We start from the raw sequence: 27,810 nt of genomic DNA, 5'->3' as shown, positions 1-27,810 counted from the left end.
GTAATCCCAGTTACTCAGGAGGCTGAAGCAAGAAAATCGGTTGAACCCGGGAGGCAGAGGTTGTGGCGAGCCGAGAATGCGCCATTGCACTCCAGCCTCGGTAACAAGAGCGAAACTCCGTCTCAAAAAGAAAAAAAAAAAAATCTGATTTTAAACAAAATTTAAGCAACTGCTTCAGGGGTTTCCTCTAGTACAAAATCTGTACAATAAGATTTGTGATACAATTAAAGGTACTACAACCCTCTTTAAATTTGCAATGTTTGTCTTCAAAATGGTTACTCTTTTTCACATTAAAGGCTTATATTTTCTGAATGCTTTTGACAGTAATTCCATTTATAATGCTTTTATTAAGTACTTTCTGATGCTGAGTAAGATGTGAGCAGATATTAACGGCTTTTCCACATTCTTTATATTTGTATACTTTTTCTCAACTAAAAATTCTTTTCTGTGCAGTAAGGTGTGAGCATAAATTAAGTTTTGCCACATTGTTTGCACTTGTAGTTTGTTCCAATATGAATTATCTTACCTAAAGTGTGACAACCATTTAAAGACTTTGCCATAGTCTTCACATTTTTAGAATTTCTCACCAGTATGATTACTTTTATAAGTCTGAGGTGTTGTCAAAATTATTGTCACATCTTTCAGGTTAGTAGTTTCTCTCCAGTATAAATTTTCTTATGTTTAGTAAGACTTGTAAATTGATTAAAGCTTTGCCATAATTTTCATATTTGTAATTTTTCTCCGGTATGAATTATCTTATGTTTAGTAAGGACTGAGGACCATTTAAAAGCTTTGTCACATTCTTCACATTTGTAAGGTTTTTCTCCAGTATGAATTCTCTTATGTTTAGTAAGGTTTGAGGACTGGTTAAAGGCTTTGCCACATTCTTCACATGTGTAGGGTTTCTCTCCAGTATGAATTTTCTTATGTTTGGTAAGTTTTGAGGATTGGTTAAAAGCTTTGCCACATTCTTCACATTTGTATGGTTTCTCTCCAGTATGAATTATCTTATGGATAGTAAGGGTTGAGGGCCATTTAAAACCTTTGCCACATTCTTCACATTTGTAAGGTTTCTCTTCTGTATGACTTTTCTTATGTCTAGTAAGATTTGAGGACTGGTTAAAAGCTTTGCCACATTTTTCACATTCATAGGGTTTCTCTCCAGTATGAATTTTCTTATGTTCAGTAAGTTTTGAGGATTGGTTAAAAGCTTTTTCACATTCTTTACATTTGTAAGGCTTCTCTCCAGTATGAATTATCTTATGTTTAGTAAGGGTTGAAGAGTGTTTAAAAGCTTTACCACATTCTTTACATTTGTAAGGTTTCTCTCCAGTATGAATTATCTTATGTGTAGTAAGGTGTGAGAAATGATTAAAGGCTTTTCCACATTTTTCACATTTGTAGGGTTTCTCTCCAGTATGAATTACCTCATGTGTGGTAAGGTGTGCAGACTGGTTAAAGGCTTTTCCACATTTTTTACATTTGTAGGGTTTCTCTCCAGTATGAATTATCTTATGTGTAGTAAGGTTTGAGGACTGCTTAAAGGCTTTGCCACATTCTTCACATTTGTAAGGTTTCTCTCCAGTATGAATTTTTCTATGGGTAGTAAGGGTTGAAGATCGGTTAAAAGCTTTACCACATTCTTTACATTTGTAGGGTTTCTCTCCAGTATGAATTATCTTATGGGTAGTAAGAGTTGAGAATCGGTTAAAAGTTTTGCCACATTCTTCACATTTGTAGGGTTTCTCTCCAGTATGAATTTTCTTATGTTTAATAAGGTTTGAGGACTGGTTAAAGGCTTTACCACATTCTTCACATTTGTAAGGTTTCTCTCCCGTATGAATTCTCTTATGTTTAGTAAGGGTTGAGGACCAGTTAAAGGCTTTTCCACATTCTTCACATTTGTAGAAATTTACTCTAGTATGAATTCTGCTATGTTCAGTTAGGCATGAAATCATGCCAAATGATTTGCCACATTTTGTACATTTGAAAGGTTTCTTTTTAGTATGTCTTATCTCATGTCTGTTTGAATTTGAAAATTTATGAGCGACTTTTACATATTTATCACATTGAAATATTTTGCTCTGGGTAGCTGTGAGACATTGGTTAAGTCCATTACAACCTCCTTTGTGCATCTTACACTCATCCATACTTTCACAGCCTTTTCTTAATGGTAAATTTTCATGTCTACATTTTCCATATCTTTTCAGTGTCACTTTTTGGAAAGAATCTTTTATATTCTGCTCCGGCCAAAGGTCTTGGGCAAAATGAGAACACATAACTGAAAGAAACAAAAATGACAAATTACTCCACTTGCTAGACTTAGATGAAGATAGTTTACAAATGTAATATATAAAATTAAACAAACTACATTAAGTAAGATGGCACAGCAAAATACCATAGGCCCTAAATCCTTCATAGACATTTAAATGTAACAAAAACATACTGACCAAAATACATTTGTGGAAAATTTATAAATGAGTTAAGTGTGTGCAGTGCCCCAGGTGAGCATAATGCAAAGAGCCACATAGGAAAAAAAAAGTTTGTTACATTTACAACACAGCTATTTCGGTTGCCCAATGTAACACAGTGGCTTTAGAAGTAAATTGGCAACTCTTGGTTTCTTTTATAAAAGACAAGAAAAATAGCGGCAAAAAACATTTTTATTTCTGGTTTCTAGGGACTTTTCCAGACACTGGTTTCTGTCTTGAAATAAATGGTATACATTGGAATGGCAGTTTGAGTCTGCTGAGATCAAAGGTAAATGCTACAGCAGCAAAGAGACTGCAATATTATAGGCAGGAAATAGTTGTAGCAAATGATTACTGACTATTAAGAAGAAACATGAACAAACTCCTTTAACTAAAAAAGACCTAAAACATTTCAGACAAGACACATCCTAAGAACATGTTAGAGAAACTCTCAGAATCTCTATCCAAGACAATTGGTTTCAGATATGCCAAGACAAAGCTATATTATAAAGATTGTTACAGGTGGTTTGTTTTTAATGTCTAAATTTCAATGAAAGATTACAACATATAAAAATATTGGGGCAACATAGCCCCATCAGAAACATAAAAATTTCAGAAAGCTATCATTAAAAATAAAGATATACAAATTAGTTTGAAAAACTTGAATAATATTCAGTGAGGAAAATAGAAACACAGACAACAATTGAAAATTAGAAGAATGAGGATAACAACAAAAATATTAAAAATATCAAAAAACAGAAATTGTGGAGGTGAAAAATACAAAAAAATTTTAATATAAGAAAAAATGATGTAAAAATGAAGAAGCTCAACAAACTAGAATACACACAAAGATATTTATAACAAACACATGCATGAGTGCAATTTCAAGTCACAAAGTAGAAAATCCTCAAAGATGCAAGATAAAAGTGATGTGTCATTTATAAGCATAGTCTTATGAGATTACTAGTAAATTTGTCATGAAAATTTTGCAAGCGAGAAGGGAACTATGTGATATTGTAATAGTCCTGAAATTAGTAAAAAAAAAAAAAAAAAAAAAAAAAAAAAGTGTATTGGCACTGCATATGCCCTACATATCAAAGATGCTAAAAATAACATAATGTAAGAAAACAACATATTATTACATAAAAATGCATAACTTTCTGGGAAAGATATGCACATATCCAAAATTAGAATTCCTTAGCATTATCATAATGGTGCAGAAAACATTTTTAGTTATTCTCTAAAAGTTGAAAAATAAAAACACTAATTATTATAAACACTCATTAATGTACTTACAACATAAAGATATAATTAGCAACATCAATAAGAAAGTTGAGGGCAGATATAATGAGAAAGATTTTTTGTATACAACTAAAGTTCATTTTTTACCATAATTAAATATACTGTTGCATCTTTTAGAGATTTTATGTAAACCCCAAGGTACCACAAAAAAATCTGTATAGAGATATAAAAGAAAATTTTAAAAAGTGAAAGCATATTAGTACAAAAATAAAAATGACACAAAGAAAGAGAGAGAGAAAATTGGGAACAAAGAAACAAGAATCAACTAAAACAATAAAATAACATTTGTAAGTCTGTTTCAGAAAATTAAATATACATAAAGTTAACTTTTTAATTAAAAGACATACTTTCAATAAAGGGATTTATTAAAAAAATTAAAAACCAGGATTCAACTTGCCTTTCTACAAGAGTCAGTTGCGATCTAATGATAAAGAAAGACTGAAAGTGGCAAGATGGAAGTAGACATTCCATGCAAATTTTAACCAAATGAGAGCAGAAGAGGTCTAAGTAATATTACACAACACATCTTAAGTTAAAACTGTCATATTTTATAAAATGTACTTTAAAGTCAAAACTCCAAAGAGACAAAGAAGGACATTAAACAATAATAGATTCACTCACTGAGAACCTCTGAAAAATTTCTATATACATTTGTGGGGTGTGTGTGTGTGTGTGTGTGTGCATGTGTATATCTCACATTAAGGTTCCAAATATATAAAACAAATATTGACAGAATCGATGAAACACATAGAGTGCAATATAATTTTTATAGTAGGATATTTCAATACCTACTTTCTATAATAATAAAAAAAAAGAATATTAGAAGGCAACAGGTAACTTTAAGGCAATATAAAACAATTACTTCTAACAGAGGCATAGAGAACACTCCTCAGTAACATCAGGATATACACCTTTCTCAATAGCTCATACGACATTCTTTTTGATAGACAACCTGTTAGGACAAAAAAAGAAGTCTTAACAAATTTTTTAGAACTAAAATTTTATAAATTACTCTTTAAGATAAAAATGGAATCAGGGTATAATTAATGCTGTAAAGATGTTCATACTGCTCAATGTAATCTACACATTTAAGGCAATGTTTTTAAAACTTCTCATTGCATTTTTGAAGAAATAGAAACAGCAACCTCAGAAGTATATGGAATCTCAAAAGACAATAAAGTACCCAACAATCTTCAAAAAAAAAAAACGTTTGAGGCATTACACTTCCTGATTTCAAACACAGTACAAAGCTACAAAATTAAAACAACTTGGTATAAGTATAAAGCTGAAAACATAGACTAATAAGAGAATGCAGTACATACGTAATGTACATGTCATATAAAGAGTCATTTACTTACCCATAATTATTGCAGCATTGTTACTGAAAGCCAATGGGTGAAAGCAATGCAAATTTCTGTCATTAAACCATCCAGCAGATTTAATTTGAAATATAAAATTACTGGAATAGGCTGGGTGCGGTGGCTCAAACCTGTAATCCCAGCACTTTGGAAGGCCAAGGCGGGTGGATCACATGAGGTCAGGAGTTCGAGACCAGCGTGTCCAACATGGTGAAACCCCACCTCCACTAAAAATACAAAAATGAGCCGGGCATGGTGGCGCATGCCTGTAATCTCAGCTACTTGAGAGGCTGAGGCAGGAGAATTGCTTGAACCCAGGAGGCGGAGGCTGCAGTGAGCCGAGATCGCGCCATTGCACTCTGTACTCCAGCCTGGGCGACAGCGTGAAACTTCACCTCAAAAAAACAGAAAACAAAATACTGGAATATCCCTCAGTTTTCAAAAAGCAGGAAATATTCTGACAACTGTAAATATAAGTTTTGATGACATTATGCCAAATAAAATGAGCCAGCCACAGAAAGACAGAGATTGTATAGGATATTTAAAGCAGTTACAACCTTAGACAAGGAAAACAGAGTGGTGTTTGGAAAGTGCTACAAAATGGAAAAAATTGGTAGTTGTTTAATGTGTATTCAGATTCAGCTTTGCAAGATAAAAACATTTTGGTGATATGTTGCAAAACAATGTCAATATAATTAAGATCACTAAATTGAATATTTACAAATATTTTATTATAAATTTTATGTTTTTGATAAGTAAAAATAAACAGAAATACCTAAGATACAGAGTAATGATAGTTTTTATATTATCTTAAAATTCAAAAGTGTTTCTCCCACACAGAAATAATATAGATTCACAAATAAGATGATAAAAGTAGAAGAATTTTTATGACTACTCACCTACACAGGATTAAACAACCATTCACAACCAAACTACACAATAAATACACAAGTTATAGGAAAATAGAAATAATATTTATACAGGCAAGCAAACATAAACACATTAGCAATAGACATATGGCTGATTCATATTTGATTTTGCTTCACACTGTCATAAATTGCAGAGTTAAATATTTTCATACACAATTATAATATAAACTAAAACATCCAAACACAATTAACTAATGTGAGCTGGAATACCCTTAAATATAAAACGCAAAAATATAAAAGTGCAAAACAAAATTAAAACATGAAATGTAAAACTTATTGGACACCATCAAGTAGAACAATATATTCATGAAAAAAAATCATAGAATAATATAGCAAAAAAGTAATACAGAGGTTACTTGAAGATTTAAAAAAGCTGAGAACTTTCCAAATTATGATGTAATAAAAAATTCTTAACCAATACTACTTGAAAATATGTTTATAATTATATATTAATATAATATATAAGTATATAAAAATATATAATAATTATACTACTAATTATAATTACTTTACTTCAAAAACAAGATAAAAATAAAGACTTTTCAAAATAAAAGGTGAGGGTATTCATCACCCCTACCACAGTCCTACAAAAACTGCTACATGGTTGCCAGGCAGTGGCTCATGCCTGTAAATCCTACAGTTTTAAGAGGCCAAGGCAGTCAGCTTACTTGAGACTAGGAGTTGAAGATCAGCCTGAGCAACATAGTGAGACACTGCATACAAAATAAAAAAGAAAGGCTAAATGAGTCCATTATGTTAAAAAATAAAATGATGCTGAACAGCATCATAAAAACATATATAAATAAAAAACTATTAAATATATCAACACATAAAATTATTTATTATCAAAATAATGGTGCATAAAACTCTTAAATTTCCTCTATAGAATATGAAAAACAAAATATAAATCTGTTAATAGATACACAACATAAAATAATATTTAATACCAATAACAAACTGGAAAATATAGAGTCAAATAAGCTGAAAGTAACAGAATGGAAAAACTTTTTATTACATGCAAATATAACCACAATTGAGTAAGACACTCATAATTATATTAGACATTATATGCTTTAAGTCAAGTACTAGCATGAGACAAAGACTGATATTATACAATAGTAAAATGGATCAATTTACCAGGAATCTAAAACTATTATGCCTATTTATTTATGTGTATATGTATATACAACATTAGGGCTCCAAAATACGTAAAGCAAATATTGACAAAAGTGAAACAAGAAATACATAGCAACATAATAATTGTAGACATCAAGACCCCATTTTTAATAATAAATAGAAAATTCAGACAAAAGATCAATAAGAAAACAGAAAACTTAGACAACGTTACAGAATATATTATTTTGCACATAGAGGAATACCTGAGAGTGGATAATTTATAAATAAAAAGGCTTGTTTGGTTCATCGTTGGGCAGACTGTACAAGAAGTGTGTGCCGGCATCTGCCTCTGGTGGAAGGTTTCAGTAAGCTTCCACAATGGTGGAAGGCCAACAGTAACTGGACATATCACATAGTAAAAGACAGAACCAAATGTGAGGTGAAGGGGCCAGGTTCTTTTAATGAGGCAGCTCTCATCTGAATTAACAGAGTGTAAACTTTTTGATTACCAAGAGGATAGTACAAAGCCATTCATGAGAAATTTGCCCCATGATCTAAACATCTCCCACCAGGTTCCACATCCAACAGTGAGGATTACATTGCAGCATAAGATTTGAAGAACACGAACATCTAAACCACATCACAGACCAACTAGGATTAACAGACATGTACAAAACTTTTCAGTCAAAAGCAAGAGAATACACAACATTCTTATTTGCACCTTGTGTATTCTGTTAGGACACATAACAAATCTTATTAAATTTAAGAATACTGGCTGGGTGAACAGGCTCATACCTATAATCCCAACACTTTGGGAGACCAAGGTAGGAGGATCATTTGGAGCCAGAAGTTTGAGACTAGACTGGGCAACAAAGTGAGACTCTGTCTCTACAAATAATCAAAAAATTAGCCAGGCATAGTACTGCATGTCTGTAGTCCAAGCTACTCGGGAGGCTGAGGTGGAACAATCACTTGACCCCAGAAGGTTGAGGCTGCAGTGGGCCAAAATCTTGCTACTGCATTCCAGACTGGGTGACAGAGTAAGATTCTGCGTCAAAATAACAATGACAACAACAACAAATAAATTTAAGCAGACAAAAATTATACACTGTGTGTTTTCTGACCAAAACTGAATGCAACTAGGAATTAAAAGCAAAACTGGAAAATCCAAAATTACGTAAAAATAAAACACACCCTTCAACATATTCTTGCCCAAGTTTCAAAAAAATTAATTTTTCAAAGATGTCAATACAAACTACAGTGGCAAACAAATTCAATATAATCTAACTAGAAATCCCAATACCACATATTTTTACAGAAATATTGTTTAAAATTTGATTATAAACTATAGCCAAACACCCATGAAAAAGAACAGAGGCATTATACTTCCTGATTTAAAAACATAATAGGCCAGCAAGGTGGCTCACGTCTGTAATCCCAGCACTTTGGGAGGCCAAGGCAGGTGGATCATGAGGTCAGGAGTTCAAGACCAGTCTGGCCAACATACTGAAACCCCGTCTCTACCAAGAATACAAAAAATTAGCCAGGTGTGGAGGTGGGTGCCTGTAATCCCAGCTACTCCTGAACCTGAAAGGCAGAGGTTGCAGTGAGCCGAGATTATGCCATTGCACTCCAGCCTGGGAAACAGTGAGAGACTCTGTCTCAGGAAAAAAAAAAAATTAATAATAATAATATAAAAGCTACAATAACAAAAGCAATGTGGTACTGACACAAAAACAGATAAACAAAGAACAGAGTAGAGAGCACAGAAATCTGTATATGATCAAATGATCTTGTAAAGTTGCCATGAGCACACAATAGAAAAAAAGATAACCTCTTCAAGACATAATGTTGAAAACTGGATATCAACATGGATAAGATGAAGATGGATTATATCCTTGAACCACATATGAAAAATATTTTTAAATAAAATGCCCAGATATAAAAATGAAGGGGGAAAGACATGACATTTGTCTTGGCACTATTTTCCTAGATACGACATTAAACGCATGAGCAACAAAGAAAAGACAGTAAAATTTAACTGCATTACACTTCAAAGTTTCTGCGCATCAAAGAAAACATTCAATAGAGTGACAATGCCTCCTAGGAAATAGCTAAAAATATTTGCAAATCACATATCATAGAAGTTAACATTGAGAATGTATAAACAACTTGTAAAACTTAACAATAAAGTTGAATAATTTTATTTAGAAATGAACAAATAATTGAACTAAATTTTTCTCAAAAAGAATACACAAATGGGAAAAAGCATTTGAAAGGAAATGTGGCCAGGCACGGTGGCTCATGCCTGTAATCCCAGCACTTTGAGAGGCTGAGACGGGTGGATCACTTGAGGTCAGGAGTTCAAGACCAGCATAACCAACACGGTGAAACCCCGTCTCTACTAAAAATATAAAAATTAGCCGGGTGTGACGGCATGTGCCTGTAATCCCAGCTACTCAGGAGGCTGAGGAGAATTGCTTGAACCCCAGAGGCAGAGGCTGCAGTGAGCTCAGTTCATGCTACTGCACACCAGCCTGGAGCAAGACTCCACCTGGGGCAGGAAGAGTGGGGGGAGGGAAGAAAGGAAACACAAAATTACTAATTTGTAGAGAAATGCATAAAAATAACAATGAAAAACAAAATCACTTCACACCCATCAGAATGGCCACTATAAAATATAAAAAAACCCACCAAATTTGTTGCTGATGCAATGAAAATAAAACTCATACTAACTGGTGGAAAACAAGGATGCAGTCATTATTTTAAAATGTTATAAATGTTCCTCAGATAATTAAAACTGGAATTATCATTAAGTACAGCAATCACATTTATGAATGTATATCCGAACTATGCAACACAGAACCTGGGAGACATATTTGAGCATCCATGTTTATTGTACCAGTATTCACATAAGCCAAAAAACTGAAGCAACCCAGATGTCCCTTGATTTATAAACACATCAAAAAATGTAACATATACATATAATGAAATATTTTTTCAGACTTAAAACAGATTATCTTGTAACAATTTAAGATAACCTTTGAGAATATTATGTCCCTTTAAAATAAGCTAGTAATAAAATTATAGATACTATATTATTCCAGTTATATGAGATATCTTAAGTGGTCACACTCATAAAAACAGAAAGTGGAAGGGTGTTTGTCAAGAGCACCAGAGAGGGTAAAATGGGTTGCTGTTACTTAATGGGTATTGAGTTTGGTTTTACAAGACGTAAAATTTCTAGAAGTCTTTTGCATAACAATGTGAATATACTTAACATTCCTGAAATATAAAGCTATTTTTTTTTTGGAGACAGGGTCTCACTTCGTCACCTAAACTAGAGTGCAGTGGCACAATTATGGTTGACTATAGTCTGAAATTCCCAGGCTCAAGTAATCCTCTTTCTTCAATCTTCCAAAGATCTTGGACCACAAGTGCACACCAAAATGCCAGGCCATTTTAAAGAAATTTTTTGTAGAGAAGGAGTCTCCATATGTTGCCCAGGGTGGTCTCAAACTTTTGGGTTCAAGTGATCCTCTTTGTCTTGGCCTCTCCAAATCTCTGGGATTACAGATGTGAGCCACAACCATGCCTGGCCCTAAAATGTACACTTCAATAGATTTAAGATGACAAACTTTATGTGTTTTAAAAACAATTTTCTAAAGAAAAAAACTGAAAACAATATAGAATTATAAATCCTTTCAGGAATTACCTTCATATCACAAAGTGTTTTTTTTTTTTTCACATAAAGGAAATAGATATTCATTATTAAACGCATGGTAAAAATAAGAGTATCTCCATAACTACTCACTTAAACAAGATGAAACAACCACTGAAAATCAGCTAAGAGGTCAGGCACAGTGGCTCACATCTGTAATCCCAGCACTTTGGGAGGCTGAGGTGGGCGGATCACCTGAGGTCGGGAGTTCGAGACAAGCCTTACCAACATGGAGAAACCCCGTCTCTACTAAAAATACAAAATTACCTGGGTGTGGTGGTGCATGCCTGTAATCCCAGCAACTTGGGAGGCTGAGGCAAGAGAATCGCTTGAACCCAGAAGGCAGAGGTTGCGGTGAGCTGAGATTGTGCCATTGCACTCCAGACTGGGGGTCATATTTATAGATAAGCACACACACATATATAATCAGATTGTTATAGACATATGGCTGATTTGTATCTTAATTAAACCTCACATTGACTTAACGTGTACATACAGAATTGCAAGTTATTTAAAATTATAATGCATAAGTAAAAGCAAAAAACACAATAAACTGATGTTAAGAAACCTACACTACCTGGGAGTGGTGGCTCAGGCCTGTAATCTCAGCACTTTGGGAGGCTGAGGTGGGCGGGTCACTAGGTCAGGAGTCCGAGACCAGCCTGGCCAATATGGTGAAACCCCATCTCTACTAAATATACAAAAATTAGCCAGCCGTGCTGGTGTGTGCCTGTAGTCCCAGCTACTTGGGAGGCTGAGGCAGAAGAATCACTTGAACCAGGAGGCAGAGGTTGCAGTGAGCTGAGATCATGCCACTGCACTCCAGCCTGGGTGACAGAGCAAGACTGTCTCAAAAAACAAAACAAAAAACAAGCCTACACTAAAACACACTAATATGGAACTGCAAGACAGTAATAAATGTTTACTCCTAAACTCTGGTTTGCAATATTGATGTACCATTAAGAAAGAATGTGTCTAGACAACAATATTTGACAGTGTACTCATGGAAAGCAGGTACTTTGAATCATTGGCAGGCACTGTATGGCAGTAAAATTTCAGAGAAAATACAGTATAAGCATAAATAGAATATTGTAATGAGAAACTTTTTATAATCATTTAAAAGAAACGAGATAAATTTTGTTTTAAATATATGCATTTTTACACAAAATGAAAGTGCTGCAATCCAAATTTAGAAGCAAATAGCCTTAAACTGCTAAATAAAATACACACACACACACACACATATATATACACACACACACACACACACACACACATATAGCAGAATATGGTTAGAGCCTCTGATATATAAAACAAATATTTGGGAATAAATTATGCTATTATTTAGATTTAGGCTGAAGAAAGTGGGTGAATATCCTATAATTCCGTTTTGCCTGCAGCAAACTTAAATTTATAAGTAACTATTTTAGTAAATATGGAGTGCCTACTAATTGTATAATTTACTTCAGGCATAACATGTAAATTCTAGCATATTGTTCTAAATGTCTGAATCTAAAATTACAGAAAAGTTTGAAATGGAAAATAGAAAGAAAAATGTATATAGAGAGTAACATCAGCAAGATGGAAAAATAAAAGGTGCCCTACTTTCTTATGCCCCAACAGCAAGAAAATTTTTTCAGCCAATCCTGACAAAAATGCCCTTATGAGAGAGCCAGGCATCATGGCTCACCCCTATAATGACAGCTACATGGTACACTGAGGTTGGAGAATTGCTTCAGGCCAGGATTTCAAGAGCATCCTAGGACAAATGCAGTGGCTCATGCCTGTAATTCCAGCACTTTGGAAGGTTGAGGTGGGAAGGTTAACGTCAGAAGTTCAAGATCAGCTTATCCAACATGGTAAAACCATGTCTCTATTAAAAATACAAAAATTAGCCCTGTGTGGTGGTGTGTGCCTGTAATTTTAGCTACTTAGGAGGCTGAGGCACGATAATCACTTAAACCCAGGAGGAGATGGGAGTGAGCCAAGATCATGCCACTGCACTAAAGCCTGTGTGACAGAGTGAGACTCCGTCTCAAAAACAAAAAAACAAGACTAGTCTGGGTTCTGAAGCAAGACCCCATCTCCAAAATAAGTGCCTCTAAGAGCTTTGAGATCCAGGGAGGGACTTGTGAAACTGCTAAAGCCCAAGATTGAGGAGTATCCGTTTCGGAAGGCAGGCCCTCATTCAGGTGGCAATCTACAGAAACTCTGTTCTTGACTATAGACCAAAGAAATGGCCCACCCAGCTTGGTCATCCCAAACTCCTCCCAGCCACAGTATGAAAGAGGCCCTGCCCTTCCAGAGTCCTGGAGGAAGACATCAATTTATAGACATGCAGACAGGCCTGCAGACCTTGGCCTTTACTGTGGTCCCCAAAGCAGTTTAATGACTCAGTTCCAGCTCCCTAAGCCACAGTTTATGGCCAGTTCTGCCTACACAGAAACCCACACAGTGTCCCAGAGAAATGCTCTCTGGTATTCAGTGAAAGCCATACTCATCCACATCCTGATATAAGCCCTGCCATTAGCAGACTCGACTGCAGAAACCTGCCCTAGTGTCTGCCTTATATATAGAAGTCCTGAAGGATATTCAGTTTGTCCAAAAATAAAATGGGAGTTACAGCTACCCAAGCCTCTTATAACAAACCAACTAAAGGCGGACCCTAGTGCAGACCCAGCAGCCTTCTGATCAAGCTACAATTCCTCTGCACTATAAACTCAGAGGGCATCCCGTCACCCTGGGGGCCCAACAGAAGATCTTTACCTTCTGAAACTGGTTTATAAAAACTTGAAGAGGGCTGGGCGCTGAGGCTCATGTCTATAATCCAAGCACTTTGGGAGGCTGAGGTGGGTGGATCACGAGGTCAGGAGTTTGAGACTCGCCTGGCCAATATGGTGAAACTTCGTCTCTACTAAAATACAAAAAATTGGCCAGACGTTGTGGTGCACGGCTTTAGTCACAGCTACTTGGGAGGCTGAGGCAGGGGAATACTTGAACGCAGGAGGCGGAGGTTGCAGTGAGCCGAGATCGTGCCACTGCACTCCAGCCTGATGACAGAGTGAGACTCCGTCTCAAAAACAAAAAACAAAAACCCAAAAAACAAAACAAACAAAAAAACCCCAAAAACTTGAAGAGCTGTTTGCTCATTCAAATTCATATACACCAATGCAAAACTATATTGTGCTCATCGTAAAATGTGAAATAGAGGTTCCTTTTCAAAGGGACTTTCCTCCTCGTGTAATTAGGAATAAATAGTAACTTCTCTTAGAAGCAAAATGTATTCAAACACCTGTGCTGACATTCTTAGATATCTGCTAGCCGTGATAAAGAAATCAATGTACTTTGTGTTCTTAGCTCCCACATTTTAGCCTAAATATTTGCCCTGGCATGCTTATACTGGTCCAAGCAAGCATTAGGTCATAGCCTGTTCCTATTCCTTATCTGGAGGTGTTTTTACCTTTCTCAGCATCCACAAGTTGCTCCCTCCTTCCTTTGTTCTCCTCTGCCTTTGCCTCTTTTAGAAAGTTCTAAGTTGCTAGCCAACTGGGACAAATACAGAATGTGAGGTCCTGTTGTAGCCAATGGAAACCGGACACAGCAGTAGGGTGGACCCATCAGGTTATAAATGACCCTGCCTCCTTTGTTTAGTGTATTCTCTTGGCAAAACTGCTGGCGAGTGTACTCTTTCTGCAGAAAGTAAACTAGCCTTGCTGAGAGATCCTTTGTCTCTCAAAGGATTTTTGTGACACCAAGCACCCATTCCCAATACCATTGTCAATGTTTCTATTTTAATATAGCACTGGAAGTATGTGGCAGAAGAATTAGTAAAAAAATTGTTTTAAAGCCATTGAAATTGAAGACAAATAAGTAAAAGTTGCTGGTTGTAGATCATATAATCTTATATATAGAAAACCATGAATAGTACATTAAAACCTGTCTAAACTAATAAATACACCCAGTAAATTAGCAAAGTATAAAATTAACATACAAGTATAAATTAGGGTTCCATATACATAAAACAAACTATCTGATAAAGAAAACAATCTTATTTATAATAGCATCAAAATAATAAATTTCTGAGAACAAATTTAACAAAAGAGGTAAAACATTTTTATACTGGAAGATATAAGATATCATAGAAAGAAACTAGAGAAGACACAAATAAATTTTAAAATATTTTATGTCTATGCATTGAAAGGATAAATATTGTTAAAGTGTCATATTATACAAAGTAACCTATAGATTCAACAAACTCCCTATCAAAATTCTAGTGGTGGCCAGGCATGGTGGCTCACGCCTGTAATCCTAGCACTTTGGGAGGCCAAGGCACATGGATCACCTGAGGTTGGGAGTTTGAGAACAGCCTGACCAACATTGAGAAACCCTGAGGCAGAGGTTGCGGTGAGCCGAGATCACACCATTGCACTCCAGCCTGGGTAACAAGAGCGAAATAAAAAAAAAAAAAATTCTAGTGGCATCTTTTACAGTAATGAAAAATACAATTCTAAAACATACATGAAACTATAATAAACTTTGAATAGCCAAAGCAATCTTGAGGTAAAAGAACAAAGCATAGGGGCATCATACTTTATAATTTCAAACTATATTTCAAGAATGTAGTAATACAAACAGGATGGAATGTGCAGAAAAACAAACAAAAAAACCCCCAATGGAACAGAAACCACTACTCACATATTTCAAACATGATGCAAAAATACAATTAAAAATATTGCTTAACATAGACTTTTTCAAAATTATGCAGATATTTGTGTGTCCCCCAAAACAATGAAAAAGCAGCCAGACTGCGCAGTCTCTTATATGCCACGAAGAGGACTTTGGCTCTAACTGCAAACTTGAAGATCACCGAAGGAAAAGTAGAATCCTTAGAAAATTTAAAAGTATAAGACAGAAGATGCCCCCATGTGAGAGCAAAAAAGAAAGAAAGAAACCTCAGGCTTCTGAGAAACTATTTTCTTTGGAACACAGCTTCCTAAATCACATTTTAAGGACTGGCTTTCTCTTTGGCCTTTGGACCTCTCATGTGTCATCTGCTGTATTCATTTTCACTTTCACCTACCTGTGGGTTTGGCCACCATGATCTCATGTCTCTTCATACTCCAGGCCTCTTTCCCTTGCTCCAGACAAGTGATCAGGTCTGGCTTAGAAACAGTAATACCTGTTTTATTAAAAATAAATAATATAAATCTTGCTCATATTCTCTAATGACCAATCTAGTAATGTGCTTAGCTAGTAAATTAATCCCAAAATACTAATTTATAACAGACATTTTCAAATATTTAAAAAATATTTTTGATTTGTAGGTTCTTTTTTTTTTTTTTTTTGAGATGGAGTCTCACTCTCATTCTGTCACCCAGGCTGGAGTGCAATGGCGTGATCTCAGCTCACTGCAAGCTCCGCCTCCTGAGTTCATGCCATTCTCCTACCTCAGCCTCCTTAGTAGCTGGGACTACAGGACTACAGGTGCCTGCCACCACACCCAGCTAATTTTTTGTATTTTTAGTAGAGACGGGGTTTCACCGTGTTAGCCAGGATGGTCTCGATCTCCTGACCTCGTGATCCGTCCGCCTCAGCCTCCCGAAGTGCTGGGATTACAGGCGTGAGCCACCAAGCCTGGCCCAGTTTCTTAATTTTACTATCCAGTACTATTGAATCAAAAATTGGTGTTGGCAATTACATTTTAAGGTGTGGGCAAAAATTTTATGCCATTAAATTTGTGGAATTTAGTAATCTACAGTGAAGGATACAGATCAGCTCAGAAATTTGGAAAGTTAAGGTCAAAATGAAACATCTTGCAGAAATTCTTTTCTACATGTATTAATCCCCAAGATTTTCTTGAAAACAGGGATCTGAAACTAATTTATGCAAAGCACACTTTACCAGAAAAACATTCCACAAATAAAAGAAATAAAACCTTTAGGGCATATTAGAAATTGTGTATTGAAGTTATCCTCACCCAGGAAGACCAGGTTTCTGTAGTTCTCTAACATCACATTTCTATATAAATTCCGCTGTGCAGTGTCCAGGCATTGCCACTCCTTCAGAGAGAATTCTATGGCCACATCCCTAAATGTCAATGGTCCCTGAAAGATACACACACATACACATACACACACACACACACACACACACACACACACACACACACATAATTACCAACTGGTTATGAAAAGCATTTTTAATTTTACTCAAGGTGAAATGAGAGAGTACAGGTAACTGTTTCTGACTTACAGGAGTGACTAAAATTATAAAATAAAATAATTTTTTTAACACAGAAATATTCTCTAATATATTTTTTAACTCTAAGAAAAGAGAGTGGCATAAGATCCACAATACCAGTGTATACATGATACTTTTCTGGATGATATAGTATAAAATTAAGGGCATAAAAATGTGTATTTTTGGATGCCATATACACATTCTACAGAATGAGTTGTGTATATTTTTCAGATGGAAAAGACAGGTTGAGTTAGAAGGTACTTTTTAAATTTTAATGTGTACAATAAACTGGAGAACTTGTTAATGCAGATTATTTTTTCAGATGATCTGGAATAAAGTCTGATTGTCTGAATTTCTAACAAGCTCACCAGTAAGGTTAATGTTTTTGGCCAAGAAGAATATTTTGTCAAACATCCAGTAAGGGGAAGAACCTGTGTTTTTCCTAATTTTTCTGGCCTGTAAACAAAGATAAGAGCTTTGACTTTCCAAAGACAGATGTATGCAAAAAAAAAAAACTAAGAAAAAAGGGCAGCTGCTGGATTAACTGTGATGGTTTATGCACATTAGCTGCATTAAGATAATAATGAAGAAAAAATAATTATCTCTATAGTGACAAAATCTGTCAGAGAGCTCTTTAACCAAGTGAATCATTAACATGAACTGCACTAGGACAAATTTTTTTTTTTTTTTTTTTTGAGACGGAGTCTCGCTCTGCTGCCCAGGCTGGAGTGCAGTGGTGCAATCTCAGCTCACTGCAAGCTCCGCCTCCTGGGTTCACGGCATTCTCCCGCCTCAGCCTCCCAAGTAGCTGGGGCCACAGGTGCCCACCACCATGCCCGGCTAATTTTTTTTTTTTTTGTATTTTTAGTAGAGACGGGGTTTCACCATTCCCAGGATGGTCTAGATCTCCTGACCTTGTGATCTGCCTGCCTTAGCCTCCCAAAGTGCTGGGATTACAGGCTGAGCCACCGCGCCCATCCTAGGACATATTTTTATGATGTGTTGATGCACATGAAATGACACAGCATCACGGCTGTGATACTGCTCCTCCAAACTATAGTCTGAATTTTAACATTAAAAAATCAGTTTTATGCAAAGTTCAGGATACAGATATCTTCCCTGTCTATAATTTGTAATAGTAATTTTAAATCATCTTTCTTTAGCACCCTAGAGAGCAGGTATCTCCTGATAATTTTTTTTTTAGAACTTTCTGGGTAATAAATGTCATCTTGTTTAACTAAGCATTTCCTTGATCCTGTTTTGCACAGAGGTAATGGAGAATACAGATGGAACCTCAACATTACATGTTTTCCATCTTTACAAATGACTCCAGCTTTCCCCCAATAGAAATCTTGAGTATCCACACCTTTTCATGTTCAAGAGCCACAAAGGGAACATTTTTAATAGTGCAGATTATAAATTTGTGGTAGGAATTCTGCATGGCATATAAAAAGCCACAATGTAAAGAATGTAGAAAGGGCTCTGGTATATAGAAAAAAAATACTTTTCAGACACCCTTGACTATCATAAGAATTTTTACAAGTAGTTAAACTCTTTAGGGAGGGGTAATACAATAGAGAAGTAATGATTTGCATGGCATTCTAGGAGGCAAAGTGGACACAGCTCTTGATCTGAGACATGTTTTGCTTTAAAAAAAGAAGCCATTTTTTTCCTCTTTTTCCTCCTTTTCTGGGAATCCTTTCCAGATGAGATTCTTTGAACAAATTACAGCTGCATGTTGAGAATATGTCTTTAAAGATGTCAACATCAACTGCTCATCTGCTACCACCAGACCCACAGGCAGAAGGATCAAGACCTGCAGAAAAAGCTCACTCATTTATGTCCTTTATAATGGAAGAGATTCAGGAACAATGAGCTGCTCCATGGGTATCAAAATATGTTTCACTTTTCCTGTTCTCAGGTGCCCTCCCCTGTCACAGACACCAGCAATTTCTGCTACAATAATGAAAATATGGGCCATGGCCGGGCTTGGTGGCTCACGCCTATAATCCCAGTACTTTGGGAGGCCGAGGCAGGCAGATCCTGAGGTCAGAAGATTGAGACCATCCTGGCTAACACGATGAAACAGCATCTCTACTAAAAATAGAAAAAATTAGCCAGGCGTGGTGGCATGTGCCTGTAGTCCCAACTACTCGGGAGGCTGAAGCAAGAGAATCGCTTGAACCCAGCAGGCAGAGGTTGCAGTAAGCCGAGATTGCACCACTGCACTCCAGTGAAACTGCACCTCAAAAAAAAAAAAAAAAAAAGAAAAAGAAAAAGAAAAAGAAAATATGGCCACATTGCTCTGTCCCTACCAAATCCAAACAGAAACAGTCCTGCGGCCACCCTTTAGTGCAAAGGTGGAACTTAACTCATGAATGTATCTGGAACACCTCATACTTGATTCTGGCCTCAACTTAAGAGTCACATGAGGCACTTCATTACTACAACATGACTGCTTCCCCCTAGAACAATAAACAGAATCTGTGGAAAGGGCACAAGTAAAGAGATTTCTGCAAATTGGCCATGGAATCCTAATGAGAAGCCTGGGCTGATAACCACTTAGCTAAGCATTGCCTCTCAAGTTTTAATGAGCTTATAAATCACTTGGTAATTTTGGCTCCATTCTATGTAATATGATTCTGCAGGTTTGAAAAGAGTCCATGAATAGGTAACAACCCTGTCAGTGCTGATGTTGCTTCCCTTGGGCTCATTATTGGCATTAGAGAAAGCAGGCACAGCACAGGTTCCCTTACACTCAGCACTCTTGTCACAACCAAATACTTCTGGTACAAATAAAGACAACCCATCTCTGCCAGGCGCAGTGGCTCATGCATGTAATTTCAGCACTTTGGGAGGCCGAGGCAGGTGGATCACCAGAGGTCGGGAGTTTGAGACCAGCCTGACCAACATGGAGAAACGCAGTCTCTACTAAAAATACAAAAAAATTAGCTGGGTGTGGTGGTGCATGTCTGTAATCCCAGCTACTAGGGAGGCTGAGGCAGGAGAATCATTTGAACCTGGGAGGCAGAGGTTGTGGTGGGCCAAGATCGTGCCATTGCACTCCAGTCTGGGCAGCAAGAGCGAAACTCTGTCTCTAAATAAATAAATAAAATCCATCTCCATCCTTAAGTATCATATTCTTTGCTGGCTCATTAAAGTTTACAGAGGAAACAGAAGGCAGCAATGTTTGAATAAGCCTGCATTTGGCAACAACATGTACACCTGTACTAATGCAAGATATATTAAGCAGGAACTATGTACTCAAAAGGATGTTAAAAAGCACTGTGTTGGCCATAACACATTACGTGATTTCATCATCATAACACCCTGAAAGATGTTATTAAGTGTTTAATAATTCTTAGGATTTAAATAAAGAGCCCTGCCTTTCCATTTCTTCTTGTTTCTCTGTCATTGATTTTTTTTAATTGCATAGAAGAAAAGCTAAATATAGACAGATGAGAGGAATACAGAAAGGAAAGTTTAATGTATTTTAGAGAAGTTTTTTACTGTGTTTGTATTTAATTTTATGTGACTTGCAGAGCAACTACTGGATTTGCAAAAATAGAAAACAAGTTGTTAAATAGAATGTTTCTGCAAGCACTCACTTTAATACAAAATTTAAAAATTAAGACCCTAAAATACATACTTTATTTTTACCATTTATCTGTTTTGGGGTTTAAGGAAATTGTGAGCATGAACTCTAGAAAGGCAGAAGGATTCACCAGACAAAAACTCTGATTTCTTTTTTTTTTTTTTTTTTTTTTGGGACGGAGTCTTGCTCTGTCACCCAGGCTGGAGTGCAATGGCATGATCTCAGCTCACTGTAACCTCTGCCTCCTGGGCTCAAGAGATTCTCCTGCCTCAGCCTCCCAAGTAACTGGGATTACGGGTGCATGCCAACATACCAGGGTAATTTTTGTATTTTTTAAGTAGGGATGGGGTTTCACCATGTTGGTCAGGCTGGTCTCGAACTCCTGACCTTATGATCTGCCTGCTTTGGCCTCCCAAAGTGCTGGGATTATAGGCGTAAGCCACCACGCCTGGCCCAAAACTTTGATTTCTTCTAACAAATTGTGTGAGGCAAGACTCCAGGGTGGGGCCAGACCTAAATAAGGCCTCCAAATAGGTTAAATCTAAACAGAACTGGGGCAGGGAGAGGACCCTATGTAGAACTCTGTTCTCTATGCCACTAGGGTATTTCCAGTTCTGTTTTTCCTAAGCTTACCTAAGAGAAACTTAAATCCCAGAGTTTGTGTAATCTTAATCTTTTTAAGCCAAGCCACTGCCCCCTCAATTTTATAACATATACTAAGAAATTTAAAGAAATATTTTAAGGTTTTCTAGGGTAATTTTATTATAAGATACATATGTATTCTTAGCAAGGTTAAAGAAATAGAAATAGGCTGGGTGCAGTGGCTCATGCCTGTAATCCCAGCACTTTTGGAGGCTGAGGTGGGATCACAAGGTCAGGAGTTTGAGACCAACCTGGCCAAGATGGTGAAGCCCTGTCTCTACTAAAAATACAAAAATTAGCCAGGTGTGGTGGTGTGCACCTGTAGTCTCAGCTACTTGGGAGGCTGAGGCAGAAGAATTGCTTGAACCTGGGAGGCGGAGGTTGCAGTAAGCTGAGATCATGCCATTGCACTCCAGCCTGGGTGACAGAGCAAGACGGTGTCTCAAACAAAAAAAAAAAAAAGAAGAGATCAGTTTTTGTCTAGTGAATCCTGTCACTGTACTCCAGCCTGGGTGACAGAGCAAGACTCTATCTCAAAAAAAAAAAAAGTAAGAGCTAAATAAGAACACGTACACAAAGAAAGAAACAACAGACACTGAGGCCTAGTAAGGGTGGAGGGTGAGATGACAAGGAGAATTTGAATAAATATTGGTTTGGTGCTATGCTTAGTACCTCTGTGAGAAAATAATCTACACCAAACCCCCGTGACACAATTTTACCTATATAAGAAACCTGCACGTGTACCCCTGAACCAAAATCAAAAGTTAAAAGAAAAAAACTTCATGGGTGGGGTAAAGTGCAATGTAGGTGGAAGGACTGTAGGTTTTTGCTACAGACAGCGGTCCCGGTGGGGCTGTACTCTGATTTATTTGTGCCTGTGCAGGCAGATGAGATTATGAACAGGTGGTCCAGAACCCTAGGTTGGTGGAGAAAACAGTTTGCTGCTGCAGATTCAGTGTCTGGGGGTTGGGATATGCCAGGAGACTTGTAGACACTCTTGTGGGATTTTGGCAAGAAATACTAGGATCCACAATGCTGTGGTGAAATTCCTGAGGATGATGACTAGTCTTGAGAGGGATGTGGACACGTCAATGTCTAGTGTGTGTGAGTGGGTGGGACTCCTGTGGTGGCAGCTGCAAGAAAAGGGGGTCTGTCATCAGAGGTCCTTTCCTCTAAGTTTTCAGTCCACAGTCACCCTGGGAGGAGACCTGGAATCACAAGACAATGGGCAGTGTGACAGCCTGTGTACAGGAGAGCAGAGCCTCCCCTTCCCAGACACCCAGAGTTCCATTCGAGGCCAGGCCTCTGTGATATCTTTTTTCTGGTATCAAATCTATAGAGTTTGCTGAACACAAAGCAATTCTCCAGCACCTACTCATTATCTGAAATTTGAATTCTGACACCACCCAGAGTCAGCACAGACCCCGATTCAGGGTTCAGTCCCACAACACTGCCCTCATTACAGATGCCAGTCACAAACCCCATAGGCCCACCTATGCTTCTGAGCTACTGTTTAAAATTTGGGGATTCCCATAACCTCCCTCTAGTTCAATAATTTGATAGAGCTACTCACAGAACCCAGCAAACTCTGTAGTTTATTATAAAAGATACAACCCAGAAGAAGTCAAATGAAAGAAATGTATAGGACAAAAAAAGAGGTGGGGAAAAATGAAACACATACATAATCCTGGAAAATAGCTGTGATTAATAAAAGTCATCCTTTGTGTGCTCCAGCAACAGTTTATGAAAAGAAACACTTTTTTTCCCCCTCAGATGGAGTCTTGCTCTGTCGCCAGGGTGGAGTGTAGTGGCATGATCTCGGCTCACTGCAACCTCCGCCTGCCGGTTCAAGCGATTCTTCTGCCTCAGCCTCCCAAGTAGCTGGGACTACAGGCACACACCACCACGCCCAGCTAATTTTTGTATTTTTAGTAGAGACAGGGTTTCACCATCTTGGCCAGGCTGGTCTTGAACTCCTGACCTCGTGATCCTCACGCCTCAGCCTCCCAGTGTTGGGATTACAGGTGTGAGCCACCATGCCCAGCCAAAAACACCCTTCTTATTATGACTTAGAAGACACTCCCTTTTCTTACCTATCACATAGCCAGATACATACTGTACACATTTTCTTCCTTTTCTCATTAAAAAAATGAGCTGAATTTGTCTTCACTGGTCTAAATAAAATACTTTTTTTTTTTTGAGACACTTTTGATCTTGTTGCCCAGGCTAGAGTGCAATGGCGTGATAACAGCTCACAACAACCTCCACCTCCTGGATTCAAGGGATTCTCCTGCCTCCGCCTCCTGAGTAGCTGGGATTACAGGCATGCACCACCACGCCTGGCTAATTTTGTATTTTTAGTAGAGATGGGGTTTCTCTGTGTTGGTCAGGCTGGTCTCAAACTCCTGACCTCAGGTGAAATGCCCATCTCAGCCTCCCAAAGTGCTGGGATTACAGGTGTGAGCCACCACGCACAGAAATAAAATACTTCTTAATCAAACTTAAGTTTATTTTTTTCCCACAGGCTCCTGAACTTTGAGCTACCCTGAGTGTGAGTCAACATACAACCCCATTTTATGTCCCTCCTATGAACATGCTGACTTCAGGGTAAAACATTATCTGATCTAAAATCTGATTTTTTTCACACTCCATTTGCCACTCCCCTCCCACCTTTTTTCTAATCTTTTATGCTCCTCCCTAGGAAACAAAGCCTTTGTCTGCCTAAACTTTGCAAGCCATAAAGATGATATAGTTGGTACTTCCTCCTGTTGCAATATTCCTTTGGAATTCAATTTTTTTTTTTACACAAATCTAACTTTGTTTTATTTTACAAAGTCTAGACAGTGCCTCAAAACAATAAAAAACTTTATCATCAGTGAGACCCTCCCAGTTTCCTTTCATCTTAACCTTAACTGCATCTGCCTGTGGGGCCCCAGCTTTCCAAGGCTTTGGAGCTTCTCTCAGGATGGAAAGACTTCTTCCATGGCTGGGGTGAGCAGGCTGGGACATCTGCAGGGGAGGCTCCCCAGAAAGAACTAACTGGGCCTTTAATAATCTTTTTTTTTTGTAGGCTCAATATTAGCCTTAGGTTGGAGTCACTGGGTTCAAGCTTTAATTTCCATGTCAGATTTATTCCCTTGGTTTTTGAAACTGAAAACTCCAATGAAATCACTCAAACACAGTGTTCATATAAAAAAAGAAAATTTTTGGTGCTTACATTTTATACCTCAATTAGAAAAGCAAAAGCATTTATTCCTTTCAGACAATAAATGTATTATTTTATTATTTCTATAAAAAATCATGTAGTAAACAATTAGTCATGGGAACACTTCTAGGAGGTACCAAGTTTCATCTCATAAAATTTATCATGAAACTTAAAAATCAAGATAACAGGATATGGGACAGAAATATTCACTGTCACAACTTTACCCTGCAAAAAGAGAAATTTGTGTTTTCATGAATCTATGTAACTCACCAATTATATACCACATTTTCTTGTGGAAATCTATTTATTTTCTACAGCCAAAATGGAAGAGAGATTTTTCCTAATTTTTTCCCTGATAACATTCTAAAAGCTAAGCCTTGGAATTCTGTTTAAAATCACCCAGCCATAAGCACACCTGAGAAAATTTTTAAACTCACTCTGACAAAGGAACAAGTAAATGAGAATTCTTAACAAATGGAATATATGATTAGATTTTAATTTTTTTCTAAAACCCACTTCTTTTACACCCTGTGCAAATATTTTTGTGCCTTTTAAACTTTACTAATCAAATGCAATTTACAATTAAAAGAAGCTGAAGTCAAAATAAGTGAACAAATCTTTTCAAGGTGACAAACCCACAGAGGGACAGTGCTGATTAGAAAAGAGATGTGTCTGACCTATGTGTCAAGTCAGGCCGTTCAATCACTTGAAAGATTCTCCCACCCGCTCCTGCTCACTAAAGTTCTCAATGACCAACCTCTCAAGAGACACTACACTATGCCCCAGTGACTGCCCCAAGTGCATTTTACTTTGCAAGTTCTTGCACCATCTCACTGGGGTGACCTTTTTTTTGTCTTTTGGGATACTATTTTTTCTTTCACAAATCTTAGAGAATCCAGGGGGTAAAAATTATTTCTGCATTTTTCTCTCAATGTGTCTCCAAGAAATAGAAGCTGGGTTGGGTGAAGTCAATCTTTTTTTTTTTTTTTTGTATACAGTCTCGCTCTTTCACCCAGGCTAGAGTGCAGTGGCATGACCTTGGCTCACTGCAACCTCCACCTCCCGGGTTCAAGTAATTCTTCTGCCTCAGCCTCCCTAGTAGCTGGGATTACAGGTGTGTGCCACCAGGCCTGGCTAATTTTTGTATTTTTAGTAGAGATGGGGTTTCACCATATTGGCCATGCTGGTCTCAAATTCCTGACCTCGCGATCCGCCCGCCTCGGCCTCACAAAGTGCTGGGATTACAGGTGTGAGCCACCGCGCCCAGCTGGGTGAAGTCAATTTTAATGTCTCAAGGAGTTAGCTTTTCAAAGGAAGAGTACACCAGGAGACTGCACTCAGACCCTGGGTATCTACCTGCTCCCTTGATAGGATACACTTCATACCTCAGGTTGTCCTATGAGAGAAAATGACCCAGGAGCTGATATTCACTAGACACTCTAGCCAACATAGCCACAATGGTGGGCATCCTGGTTTATCCCCATACAGTACTGAAAACCCAGGACCAGGAAAAAACTGAAGAGTGGCTGATGACCCATCACACCATAAAGTCTCCAAACGGAAACCTTGACCCACCAATATTCTGATAAGAACTCTGTGCCTAGGGAAGATAAAAGGAAAAGAGACACAGAGATTTTTTTACAATATGGTGTCAGGGATTATTATTCACTTTCTTCTCATGGGAAATATTTACAAACAGAAGACAATTTTTTAAATAGTGCCATCCAATGTTTTGTGGAAGAATTATTAATTGAAATATAAAATGTACAATAAAGGACAAATAATTGATAATGTGTATCAGAGAGGGGAAGGTGGCATTTGGGAATGTCAATGACACTGGAAATTTAGTATTTTACTGTAAATCAGAGTTAATCTGGAAGAACAGGGAGTAAGAAGTAGACTTGAGACCCTGCTTGAGACATATGTGAAAAATGCAGGGGAAAAGAAGTCCCCTGTGGACTGTGAAAATGATTCAGTGGCAGGCAATTAGACTGAGGTGGCTCTAGTCCCTGGGGTCCTCCTTTTTAAAAAAATCTAACTAAAATTTCATTTTTTAGTAAATTACCACATCGGGGAAAACAAAATTCAGGCTTAACCAACTATAAACTGCCAATTAAATTCTGATCACATAACCAGAAAATTGCCAACACGATCGTACAAATTAAGAGACTATATAACTGTACCTAACCAATTACTAATTTGATTTTTTTATCATGCACCTTATAAAAGTCTTTTATTCAAGCTCCTCCCATGGACCACAAACTACAAACCATAGCTGAGTGCTCTACAATACTTGAACCACTTTTTAAGTTCTTTAATATTTTTGCGGTGACTCCTATACATCTTTTTTTTTTTTTTTTGAGACGGAGTTTCACTCTTATTGCCCAGGCTGGAGTGCAGTGGCGCGATGTAGGCTCACTGCAACCTCCGCCTCCCGGGTTCAAGCGATTCTCCTGCCTCAAACTCCTGAGTAGCTGGGATTGCAGGCGCGCGCCACGACGCCCGGCTAATTTTTGTATTTTTAAAAATTGAGACGGGGTTTCACCATGTTGGCCAGGATGGTCTTGAACTCCTGACCTCAGATGATCCGCCCGCCTCGGCTTCCCAAAGTGCTGAAATTACAGGCGTGAGCCACCACGCCCGTCCCCCCATACATTTTTAACAGAAAAAAAGAGGAACTGGGAACCCCACAGCCCAAAGCTCTTTCATGAACCCGCACCCCGAGTCAGGATTCTCCCCTGACAACCCTCCCGTGGTCCCTGCTCAATCTGGGAGAGACGCGGTGCTGCGAATGCAGAGCTGCCCAGAGAGGGCTCCAGTCCAGGGCACAGTCACTGCGCAGGGAAGAGACAGGACGCCCGGGCCGGCTGTCAGCGCAGCCGCCATCTTATGGCTGGAGGAACTGGGGCCGAGCTGGGCAAAAAGAACTGGAGCGCAGATTGTGGAGCTGACTACAGGGAGGCCTGAGTCCCGCCACAGCCGCTTCCCACCGGTTTCAACCAACCCCTTTCCCCCTCGGGATGGCGGACCTGGCACTCTCACCATTTCTAGGCTTCCAGGGGGTCCCGGCGTCTTAGCTGTGGATCTCCCAATACCTGCAGGCCACAGGGCCACAGAGGCTGGGCGTCCACGAGCAGAAAACACAAAGCAGGGAAAACAAGACCTAGAGCTCAGGCTGCAGCGAGAGACAAAGGCCCCGCCACATCCCGGAAGCCGCCCTATCCGCACCAG

The 27,810-nt window shown here is 37.9% G+C and overlaps 1 protein-coding gene across 14 annotated transcripts; it reads right to left on the bottom strand.

The window, feature by feature from the left end:
* Positions 1-327: 327 nt before the first annotated feature.
* Positions 328-27,774, bottom strand: ZNF85 (zinc finger protein 85). 14 transcript variants are annotated; one of them, XM_047439353.1, is made up of 6 exons: positions 27,609-27,774; positions 16,875-17,001; positions 15,978-16,076; positions 6,729-6,773; positions 4,636-4,725; positions 328-2,281 (listed from the first exon to the last, which is right to left on the bottom strand). In XM_047439353.1, the coding sequence occupies exons 2-6, from the start codon at positions 16,906-16,908 to the stop codon at positions 723-725; spliced, it is 1,827 nt and encodes a 608-aa protein (XP_047295309.1). In that variant the 5' UTR covers positions 16,909-17,001; positions 27,609-27,774; the 3' UTR covers positions 328-722. The 14 variants fall into 14 exon arrangements, 13 of the variants coding, with proteins under 13 accessions (XP_047295309.1, XP_011526565.1, NP_001243100.1 ...); XM_011528263.3 differs by having other exon boundaries at positions 27,622-27,774; NM_001256171.2 differs by lacking the exon at positions 6,729-6,773 and having other exon boundaries at positions 27,622-27,774.
* Positions 27,775-27,810: the final 36 nt, after the last annotated feature.

Source organism: Homo sapiens, chromosome 19, assembly GCF_000001405.40.
Source record: "Homo sapiens chromosome 19, GRCh38.p14 Primary Assembly".
NCBI lineage: Eukaryota > Metazoa > Chordata > Mammalia > Primates > Hominidae > Homo > Homo sapiens.
This window is presented reverse-complemented; position numbering and strand designations above follow the sequence as displayed.

Bases quoted from the DNA above. Each gene is read 5' to 3' on its own strand.
- ZNF85 (XM_011528263.3), bottom strand. The intron at 16,077-16,874 runs GTGAGGATAACT...TTAATAAAACAG, and splicing joins CAGAAACCTGGTCTTCCTGG to GTATTACTGTTTCTAAGCCA. The intron at 2,282-4,635 runs GTAATTGTTTTA...TGTTTCTTTCAG, and splicing joins TCTCTATGCCTCTGTTAGAA to TTATGTGTTCTCATTTTGCC.